A 12,078-nucleotide genomic window follows, 5' to 3' on the forward strand; every position below is an offset into this window, starting at 1 on the left:
AACCTTGAGTTCCTGGGAAAAATCCTACTTGGTCATTATGTGTAATCCTTTTTATCAGTTGCTAGGTTTGCATTACTAGTATTTTGTTGAGCATTTTATAGTCTATATTTATTCGACTGTAGTTTTTTTTTTTCCTGAGATAGTTTTGGTTTTAATATCTAGGTAATACTGGCCTCATAATATGAGTTGGCAAATGTTCCCTACTCTCATATTTTGGAAGATATTGTGAAGAATTCATATTAGTTTTTCTTTAAATGTTTGGTAGAATTCACCAGTGAAGTCATCTGAGCCTGGGTTTGTCTTTGTGGGATTTTAAAAATTATTAGTTCAATCTCTTTATTTTTTACAGTCTATTCAGAATTTCTATTTCTTCTCATATCATTTTCAGTCATTGTCTTTTTATAAATTTGTCCACTTCATCTGGATTGTCTAATTTATCAGCATGCAGTTGTTCATAGTATTCCCCTATAGCCCTTTTTATTTCTGAAAGGATGGTATTAAAATCCCTGCTATTGTTTCCCATTTTAGTAATTTGAGTCCTCTCTTTTTCTCTTGGCCAGCCTAGCTAATGGTTTGTCAATTCTATTGACATGTTTGAAGAACTATTTGTTTTAATTCTTGGTATTGCTTTTCTATACTTTATTTGATTAATTATCAAATAAAGTATAGAACTGCTTTAACCTCTGTTGTTTCCCTCTTTCTCCTTGCTTTGGGTTTAGTTTGCTCTTCCTTTTCTAGTTTCCTATGGTGGAAGGATGGGGTATTGTTTGAAATATTTGTTCTTTTCTAATATAGGCATTTAGCTATAAACATTCCTCTGACTATTGCTTTAGCTGCATCACATAATTTATTATGTGTTGTGTTTCTGTTTTCATTCATCTCAAAGTGTTTGATTATTTAGGAATGTGTTATTTAGTTTCCATAGATTAGTGAATTTCCCAAATTTTCTTGTTTTATTGACTTTCAATTTATTTCTATTTTGAGCGACTATGTCTTATATTATTTCAATCGTTTTAAATTTACCGAGACTGGCCAGGCTTGGTGGCTCATGCCTGTAATCCTACCACTTTGGGAGGCTGAGGCGGGCAGATCACCTGAGGTCAGGAGTTCCAGACCAGCCTGGCCAACATGGTGAAACCCTGTTTCTATTAAAAATACAAAAATTAGCCAAGCATGGTGTTGCACACCTGTAGTCCTAGCTACTCGGGAGGCTGAGGCAGGAGAATTGCTTGAACCCGGGAGATGGAGGTTGCGGTGAGCCAAGATCACGCCACTCCACTCCAGCCTGGGCGACAGAGCGAGACTTCATCTCAAAAAGATAAAAATAAAAATAAATTTACTGAGTCTCATTTTATGACCTAACATATGATCTATTCTATAGAATGTTCCATATGCACTTGAGAGGAGTGTGTTGAGAAGAAGCTGTCATTGGGTGGAGTGTTCTAAATATGTCTGTTAGATCAGTTGATAGTGTTGTCCAAATCTTCTATATCTTTGTTGATATATCTGTCTAGTTGTTCTATCAAGCATCCAAAGTGGCATATTAAAGTCTCCAACAATTATTGTTGAATTGTTTATTTCTTCCCTCAGTTCTGTCCAGTGTTTCCTTCATGTAATTTGCGCTCTTTTGTTAGGTACATATAGATTTATACTTTTTATGTCTTCCTGATTGATTGACTCTTTTGTCATTATAAAACATCATTCTTTTAATCTAGAAATAATTTTTGTCATTTTTTAAAACTTTTCTCTTAGATTCAGGGGTACATGTGCAAGTTTTTCATATAGGTAAACTCGTGTCATGCAGATATGTTGTAGAGATTATTTTGTCACCCAGGTATTAAGCCCAGTACCCAATAGTTACTTTTTCTGATCTTCTCCCTCCTCCCACCCCCAACCCTCAAGTAGGCCCCAGTGCCTGTTGTTCCCCTCTTTGCATCCATGAGTTCTTATCATTTAGCTCCCACTTATAAGTGAGAACATTTGGTATTTCATTTTCTGTTTGTGCATTAGTTTGCTAAGGATAATGGCCTCCAGCTTCATCCATGTTCCCACAAAAGACATGATCTCATTCTTTTTATGGCTACGTAGTATTCCATGGTGTATATGTACAACATTTTCTTTATTAAATCTGTCATTGATGGACATTTAGGTTGGTTCCATGTCTTTGCTAAGAATAATTTTGTCTTAAAATCTATTTTGTCAATAATAGTATAGCCAGTCCAGCCCTCTCTTGGTTATTGTTTGCATGATATTTTTTCCTTCCCTTTATGTTCAACTGATTTGTTTCTTTAAAACTAATGATGTCTCTTGTAGACAATGTATAGTTGCTCATTTTTTTTGTTTGTTTGTTTTTGTTTTTTGTTTTGTTTTGTTGTTGTTGAGATGGAGTCTTGCTCTGTCACCCAAGCTGGAGTGCGGTAGCACAATCTCGGTCCACTGCAACCTCGTCTCCCGGGTTCAAAGGATTCTCCTGCCTCAGCTTCCCGAGTAGCTGGGATTACAGGCTCCCACCACCATACCGGACTCATTTTTGTATTTTTAGTAGAGATAGGGTTTCGCCATGTTGTCCAGACTGGTCTAGAACTCCTGACCTCAGATGATCTGCCTGCTTCGGCCTCCCAAAGTGCTGGGATTACAGGCGTGAGCCACCATGTCCTGCCATCATGTTGTTTTTATCGATTCTGCCAATCCCTGCCTTTTGATTGGGGTGTTTAATTCATTGATACTTAAAGCAATTACTAATAAGGTTGAAATTATACCTGCCATTTTGTTATTTCTTCTCTATGTGTCTTATCTCTTTTTTGTTCCTCTATTCCTCCATTACTGCCTACTTCTATGTTAATTAGATATTTTATAGTGTACCATTTTAATTTTCTTATTTCTTTTACTATGTATCTTTTGAGCTATTTTCTTAGTAGTCACCCTGGGGATTACAATTAAGATCTTAATGTAAAACAATCTAGTTTGGATTTGTACTAAATATCAATAGTCTGCAATAAACTTGTTCCCATATATCTCCATTCCCTCCCCTTCCTTTGTACTATTATTGTCATACAAATTTCATCTTTATACATTATAAGCTTATCAACAGTTTTGTTATTATTGCTTTATGCCAATGTCTTTTAAGTCAGATAGAAGAAGAAAAGCGTCACAAACAAAAACGGGCTTATACTGACTTTTATATACCTATGTAGTACATTTACCATGCTCTATTTCTGTGGATTTAAGTTATCATCTAGAGTCCTTTCATTTCAGACCATAGAACCTCCTTAGTGTTTCTTGCAGTGCAGGCCTGCTGACAATAAAATCTCTATTTATTTTAAAAATATCTTGAAGTGCCTTAATTTCTTCTCCATTTTTGAAGAATAATTTTACTGGACATAGAAATCTTAACTGACAATATTTTTCTTTCAGCACTTTGAATATGCCATCCCTCTACCTTGTGGCCTCCATAATTTCTAACAAAAAGTTAGCTATTAATCTTATTGCTGACACTTGTATGTGATGAATCATTTTTCTCTTACTGCTTTCAAGCTTTTCTCTTTGTCTGTGACTTTTATCAATTGACCACGATGTGTGTATGTGTGGATCACATTGCATTTATCCTAGTTGGAGTTTGTTCAGCTTCTCAATATGTAAATTCATGTTTTTCATCAAATTAGGGACTTTTGGCCAGTTTTTTTCTCCAAATATTCCTTCTGCCCCTTTATCTTTCTTTTCTCCTTCTGAAACTCTCATTATGCATCTGTTGGTACATTTGATGCTGTCCCACATGTCTCTGAAGCTCTGTTCATTTTTCTTCATTTTTTTCTTTTTATTCTTCAGACTTGAAAATCTTAGTTCAAGTTCAGATTTGCTGATTTTGTTTAATTCTTTTTTTTAAATTTTATTATTATTATACTTTAAGTTTCAGGGTACATGTGCACAATGTGCAGGTTTGTTACATATGTATACATGTGCCATGTTGGTGTGCTGCACCCATTAACTCGTCATTTAGCATTAGGTATATCTCCCAATGCTATCCCTCCCCCCTCCCCCCACCCCACAACAGTCCCCGGAGTGTGATGTTCTCCTTCCTGTGTCCATGTGTTCTCATTGTTCAATTCCCACCTATCAGTGAGAACATGCAGTGTTTGGTTTTTTGTCCTTGCGATAGTTTGCTGGGAATGATGGTTTCCAGTTTCACCCATGTCCCTAGAAAGAACATGAACTCATCATTTTTTATGGCTGCATAGTATTCCATGGTGTATATGTGCCACATTTTCTTAATCCAGTCTATCGTTGTTGGACATTTGGGTTGGTTCCAAGTCTTTGCTATTGTGAATAGTGCCGCAATAAACATACGTGTGCATGTGTCTTTATAGCAGCATGATTTATAGTCCTTTGGGTATATACCCAGTAATGGGATGGCTGGGTCAAATGGTATTTCTAGTTCTAGATCCCTGAGGAATCGCCACACTGACTTCCACAATGGTTGAACTAGTTTACAGTCCCACCAACAGTGTAAAAGTGTTCCTATTTCTCCACATCCTCTCCAGCACCTGTTGTTTCCTGACTTTTTAATGATCGCCATTCTAACTGGTGTGAGATGGTATCTCATTGTGGTTTTGATTTGCATTTCTCTGATGGCCAGTGATGATGAGCATTTTTTCATATGTCTGTTGGCTGCATAAATGTCTTCTTTTGAGAAGTGTCTGTTCATATCCTTCGGCCACTTTTTGATGGGGTTGTTTGTTTTTTTCTTGTATATTTGTTTGAGTTCATTGTAGATTCTGGATATTAGCCCTTTGTCAGATGAGTAGGTTGTGAAAATTTTCTCCCATTTTGTAGGTTGCCTGTTCACTCTGATGGTAGTTTCTTTTGCTGTACAGAAGCTCTTTAGTTTAATTAGATCCCATTTGTCAATTTTGGCTTTTGTTGCCATTGCTTTTGGTGTTTTAGACATGAAGTCCTTGCCCATGCCTATGTCCTGAATGGTATTGCCTAGGTTTTCTTCTAGGGTTTTTATGGTTTTAGGTCTAACATGTAAGTCTTTAATCCATCTTGAATTAATTTTTGTATAAGGTGTAAGGAAGGGATCGGGTTTCAGCTTTCTACATATGGCTAGCCAGTTTTCCCAGCACCATTTATTAAATAGGGAATCCTTTCCCCACTGCTTGTTTTTGTCAGGTTTGTCAAAGATCAGATGGTTGTAGATATGCGGCATTATTTCTGAGGGCTGTGTTCTGTTCCATTGGTCTACATCTCTGTTTTGGTACCAGTACCATGCTGTTTTGGTTACTGTAGCCTTGTAGTATAGTTTGAAGTCAGGTAGCATGATGCCTCCAGCTTTGTTCCTTTGGCTTAGGGTTGACTTGGCAATGTGGGCTCTTTTTTGGTTCCATATGAACTTTAAAGTAGTTTTTTCCAATTCTGTGAAGAAAGTCATTGGTAGCTTGATGGGGATGGCATTGAATCTATAAATTACCTTGGGCAGTATGGCCATTTTCACGATATTGATTCTTCCTACCCATGAGCATGGAATGTTCTTCCATTTGTCTGTGTCCTCTTTTATTTCGTTGAGCAGTGGTTTGTAGTTCTCCTTGAAGAGGTCCTTCACATCCCTTGTAAGTTCGATTCCTAGGCATTTTACTCTCTTTGAAGCAATTGTGAATGGGAGTTCACTCATGATTTGGCTCTGTGTTTGTCTGTTATTGGTGTGTAAGAATGCTTCTGATTTTTGTACATTGATTTTGTATCCTGAGACTTTGCTGAAGTTGCTTATCGGCTTAAGGAGATTTTGGGCTGAGACAATGGGGATTTCTAGATATACAATCATGTCATCTGCAAACAGGGACAATTTGACTTCCTCTTTTGCTAATTGAATACCCTTTATTTCCTTCTCCTGCCTAATTGCCCTGGCCAGAACTTCCAACACTATGTTGAATAGGAGTGGTGAGAGAGGGCATCCCTGTCTTGTGCCAGTTTTCAAAGGGAATGCTTCCAGTATTTCCCCTTTCAGTATGATATTGGCTGTGGGTTTGTCATAGATAGCTCTTATTATTTTGAGATACGTCCCATCAATACCTAATTTATGGAGACTTTTTAGCATGAAGGTTGTTGAATTTTGTCAAAGGCCTTTTCTGCATCTATTGAGATAATCATGGGGTTTTTGTCTTTGGTTCAGTTTATATGCTGGATTACATTTATTGATTTGCGTATGTTGAACCAGCCTTGCATCCCAGGGATGAAGCCCACTTGATCATGGTGGATAAGCTTTTTGATGTGCTGCTGGGTTCGGTTTGCCAGTATTTTATTGAGGATTTTTGCATCGATGTTCATCAAGGATATTGGTCTAAAATTCTCTTTTCTTGTTGTGTCTCTGCCAGGCTTTGGTATCAGGATGATGCTGGCCTCATCCTGAGTTAGGGAAGATTTCCTCTTTTTCTATTGATTGGAATAGTTTCAGAAGGAATGGTACCAGCTCCTCCTTGTACCTCTGGTAGAATTCGGCTGTGAATCCATCTGGTCCTGGACTTTTTTTGGTTGGTAAGCTATTGATTATTGCCACAATTTCAGAGCCCGTTATTGGTCTATTCAGAGATTCAACTTCTTCCTGGTTTAGTCTTGGGAGGGTGCATGTGTCGAGGAATTTATCCATTTCTTCTAGATTTTCTAGTTTATTTGCATAGAGTTGTTTGTAGTATTCTCTGAAGGCAGTTTGTATTTCTGTGGGATCAGTGATTTTTTCTTCTGTGAGCTCAAATCTGCTGTTGAGCCCCTCTAGTGAATTTTTAAATGTCGTTTACTGTACTTTTTTGTTTGTTTGTTTGAGATGGAGTCTTGCTCTGTTGTCCAAGCTGGAGTGCAATGGTGTGATCTTGGCTCACTGCAACCTCCACCTCCCAGGTTCAAGCGATTCTTCTGCCTCAGCCTCTGAAGTACTGGGATTACAGGCACCCACCATACCCAGCTAATTTTTGTATTTTTGTAGAGACGGGGTTTCACCATGTTGGCCAGGTTGGTCTTGAACTCCTGACCTTAAGTGATCTGCCCACCTTGGCCTCTCAGAGTGTTGGGATTACAGACATGAGCCACCAAGCCTGGCCTACTGTACTTCTTAACTGCAAAATTTCTATTTGGTTTGTGTGTCCGTGTATGTGTATATGAAAATATATATAACATTAAATTTACCATTTTAACCATTTTTATATGTTTTTTGTATTTTATTTATTTATTTTTGAGACAGGGTCTCACTGTGTTGCCCAGGCTGGAGTGCAGTGGCATATGATCGTGGCTCAGTGCAGCCTTGAACTTCTGGGCTCAAGGGATCCTCGCTGGGACTACAGGTGCATGCCACCATGCCCAGCTAATTTTCTTCTACATTTTGATAGAGAAGATATCTTCCTATGTTGCCCATTCTGGTCTCGAACTCCTGGCCTCAAACAATCCTCACTCCTTGGCCTCGCAAAGTGCTGGGATTACAGGTGTGAGCCACCATGTCCAGCCCATTTTAACTATTTTTCAGTGTACAGTTGTATCTTAGTACCTGAAAAGGTTTGGTTCCAGGACCGTCCCCCATGGATACTGAAATCCATGGATGCTCAAGTCCCTTATATGAAATGACACAGTAGTTGTATATAACCTACACATCTTCCTGTAGACTTTAAATCATCTTTATATTACTTATAACATCTAATACAATATAAATATTATATAAATGTTATACTGTATTATTTTCATTCATATTATTTTTATCATTGTATTATTATTTTTATTGCTTCTTTCCACATATTTTTGAATTGAGTTCCAAATCAAAATATTCCAAATCAATGTTTTTTCCAAATATTTTCGATTTGGTTGAATCAGCAGATGCAGAACCTGTGGATACAGGGGGCCAACTGTACATATCATGGAATCAAGTGCATTCGCATTGTTGTGCAATCATTACCATAATTCATCTCCGGTACCTTTTCATTTTCCAAAACTAAAACTCTATACCCTTTAAACAATAACTTCCAAGTCTCTCCTCCCTTCAGCCCTTAGCAATCATCATTCTAATATTTTGTCTCTATAAATTTGAGACTACTCTAGCTACTCTAGCTAGGTGTAAGTGGAATCATACAATATTTGTTCTTTTATATATGGCTTATTTTTCACTTGGCATGATGTTTTCAAGGTTCATCCATACTATAGCATATGTCAGAACTTTCTTCCTTCTTAAGGCTGTGTAATATTCCACTGTATGTCTATACCACATTTTGTTTATTGATTCATCCCATTGATAAACATTTGGGTTGTTTCCACCTTTTGGCTATCATGAATGATGCTACTATGAGTATGAGTGTACAAATATTTGTTCAACTTCCTGCTTTAAATTCTTTGGGGTATATACTCAAAAGTGGAATTGCTTGATCATTTGGTAATTCTATGATTGTTTTTTTCTGTCATACTGTGTTCCACAGCAGGTGTACCATTTTATATTCCCACTAGCAGTGCACAAGTGTTCCAATTTCTCCTTATCCTGGTCAACATCTGTTGTTTCCTGTTTTTGTTTTTATAAAGCCATCATAATGGGTATGAAGTAGCAGTATCTCATTGAGTATCTTTTTATGTGCCTATTAGCCATTTGTATATCTTTTTTGGAGAAATGTCTATTCAAGTCCTTTGCTCATTTATATTGTTTTGTTTTATTTTGTTTGAGATGGAGTTTCGCTCTGTTGCCCAGGCTGGAGTGCAGTGGTGCGATCTCTGCTCACTGCATCCTCTGCCTCCCGGATTCAAGCAATTCCCTTGCCTCAGCTTTCCGAGTAGCTGGGACTACAGGTACACGCCACCTCACCCATCTAATTTTTCTATTTTTAGTAGAGATTAGATTTCACCATCTTGGCCAGGCTGGTCTCAAACTCTTGACCTTAAGTGATCTGCCTGCCTTGGCCTCCCGAAGTGGTGGGATTACAAGCATGAGCCACTACACCTGGTCCTTTGCTCATCTTTGTTTTTTTGTTGTTGTTGAGACAGAGTCTTGCTCTGTCGCCCAGGCTGGAGTGCAGTGATGCAATCTTGGCTCAATGCAACCTCTACCTCCCAGGTTCAAGCAATTCTCCTGTCTCAGCCTCCTGAAAAGCTGGGACTACAGGCATGCACCACCACGCCCGGCTAATTTTTATATTTTTAGTAGAGACGGGGTTTCGCCACGTTGGCCAGGCTTGTCTCAAACTCCTGACCTCAAGTGATCCGCCCGCCTCGGCGTCCCAAAGTGCTAGGATTACAGGCATCAGCCACCATGCCCGGCCCTTTGCTCATTTTTGAACTGGGTTGGTTGTTGTTGTTGTTGTTGAGTTTTAGGAGTTACTTATATATTCTGGATAGTAATTCGTTATTAAATACGTGACTTACAAATATTTTCACCCATTCCATAGAGTCACAAAATATTTTTCCCTTTCCTTTTTACTGAGTTAATAGTGTCCTGTAATGCAGAAAATTTCTAATTTTGGTGAAGTCCAACTTGTCTTTTTTTTTTCTTTTGCTGCTGCGCTTTTGGTGTCATATCCAAGAAATTATTTTTAAATCCAATGCATTGAAGATTTTTCCCTCTCCACACGTTCTCTTACATGAGTTTTATAGTTTTAGCTCTTATGTTTAGGCCTTTGATTCATTTTGAGTTAATTTTTGTATATGATGTTAGATAATGATCTAACTTTATTCTTTTGCATGTGGATATTTAGTTTTCTCAGAACCATTTGTTGAAAATACTGTACTTTCCCCATTGAATGGTTTCAGCACTCTTGTAAAAAATCATTTGACCATGTCTGTGAAGATTTACTTCTGAGCTCTATTCCATTGGTCTGTATGTCTGTCTTTATGCCAGTCTGTACTTCATGGTTTTGATTACTGTAGATTTGTAGTAAGTTTTACTATCAAAAAGTGTGAATTCTCCATCTTTTTTCTTCTTTTTCAAGAATGTTTTGGCTATTCAGGTCCCTTGAGATTCCATATGAATTTGAGGATGAGTTTTTCTGTTTCTGAAAAAAAAATAATGCTATTTTGATAGGGATTGCATTAAATCTATGGATCTCTTTGGGTAGTACTATCATCTCAGTCTTCCAATCCATGACCACAGATATCCTTCAGTTTTCTATGTCTTCTTTAAATTCCTTCAGCAACTTTTGTGTGTGTGTGTGTGTGTGTGTGTGTGTGTGTGTGAGATGGGGTCTCACTCCATCCAGTCTGGAGTGCAGTGGCATGATCACAACTCACTGCAGCCTTGATCTCCCAGGCTCAAGCAATCCTCCCACCTCAGCCTCCTGAGTAGTTGGGACAAGAGGTGTTCACCACCACGCCTGGCTTTTTAAAAAAACTGTAGTAGAGATGCAGTCTTGCTATATTGCCCAGGCTGATCTCAAACTCCTGAACTCAAGCAACCCTACCCGCCTTGGCCTTCAAAAGTTCTGAGATTACAGGCATGAACCACTGTGCCTGGACCTTCAGCAACATTTTTTTTTTGAGATAAGGTCTTGCTCTGACACCCAGGTTGGAGTGCAGTGGCATGATCACAGCTCACTGCAGCCTCGACCTCCTCAGCTTGAGGCTCAAGCATTCCCCCACCTCAGTTTCTTGAGTAGCTGGGACCACAGGCGCACACCACCATGCCCAGCTAATTTTTAATTTTTTTTTTCAGAGACAGGGTCTCACTATGTTGCCCAGAGTGGTCCTGAGCTGCTAGCCTCAAGCAATCCTTCCACCTTGGCCTCCCAACGTGTTGGGATTACAGGCATGAGCCACTGTACCTGGCCAACATTTTATAGTTTTCAGTGTACAACCATTTTGCCTCCTTGGTTAAGTTTATTCCTAAGTATTTTACTCTTTTTGATGCTATTGTCAGTGTAATTGTTCTCTTAATTTTCTTTTCAGATTGTTCAATGTTAGTGTATAGACCCACAACTTATTTTTGCATGTTGATTTTGTATTGTGGAACTTTGCTGAATTTGTTTATTAGTTCTAACAGTGTTTTATGGAATTTTTAGGGTTTTTCTATATATAAGACCATGTCATCTGTAAATGAAGATAATTTTACTTCTTCCTTTCCAAGTTGAATGGCATTTAATTATTTAGAGGTGGTTTCCTTCAGTTTAAAAAATATATTTATATATTAATCTTGTATCCTGCAATGTTGCTATAATAGCTTGTTAATTCCAGGAGATTTTTTTGTTGATTCTTTAGGATTTTTGTCATAGACTATCATATAATCTGTGAACAAAGACATTCTTATTTCTTCCTTCCCAATCTGTATACCTTTTATTTCTTTTTTTGTCTCACTGTATTAGCCAGGCCTGCTAGTATGATGTTAAATAGAAGTGGTGAGATCAGACACCCTTTCCTTGTGTCTGATCTTAGCAGGAAACCACCTAGTTTTTCACCATTAGTTTTGATGTTAGCTGTAAGTCTTTTTTAGATGTTCCTTATCAAGAGATGTTTTTTAAAAAATCATGAACAGGTGTTGAATTTTTTCAAATAATTTTTCTGCATCTATTGGTATGATCATGTCTTTTTTTCTTTCACTTGTTGATGTGATGAATTATATTAATTAATTTTCAATGTACATATTTATAATAGATGAGTTAAAGTCTTTGTTTAGTAAGTCCTAACTTTTGTGCCTCTTCAAGGACAGTTTCTATTGTATGTGGGACATAAGTTTGCTTCTCTGCCTGGCTCATAATTGTTTGTTGAAAACTGGACTTTTTAAATAATATAATGCCACAATTCTGGAAATCAGTTTCTCCCCACTTCCAGGGTTTGTTTCTGTTATTGTTTGTTTCAGTTGTTGTTGTTTGTTTAGTGATTTTTCCAACCAATTCTAAAAAGTGTATTCTCTGTCATAATTTGGCTACTGAAGGATATGTACCTTCATATCTCAAGCTCGGTTAGCTTACTGGTCAGCTAATGATTGGAGAGAGACTTCCTTAAGTGCCTTGAACCAATAATTATCTGCCCTGTGATGAGGGGCGTGTGCATGTTGGGACATCTCTTCAATGATCCAGCAGTTTACAACTTTGCCTTAGCCTTCATTTTCTACTTTTACCAGCCTCAATGCCAGTC

Source organism: Homo sapiens, chromosome X (assembly GCF_000001405.40).
Source record: "Homo sapiens chromosome X, GRCh38.p14 Primary Assembly".
NCBI classification, from domain to species: Eukaryota; Metazoa; Chordata; class Mammalia; order Primates; family Hominidae; genus Homo; species Homo sapiens.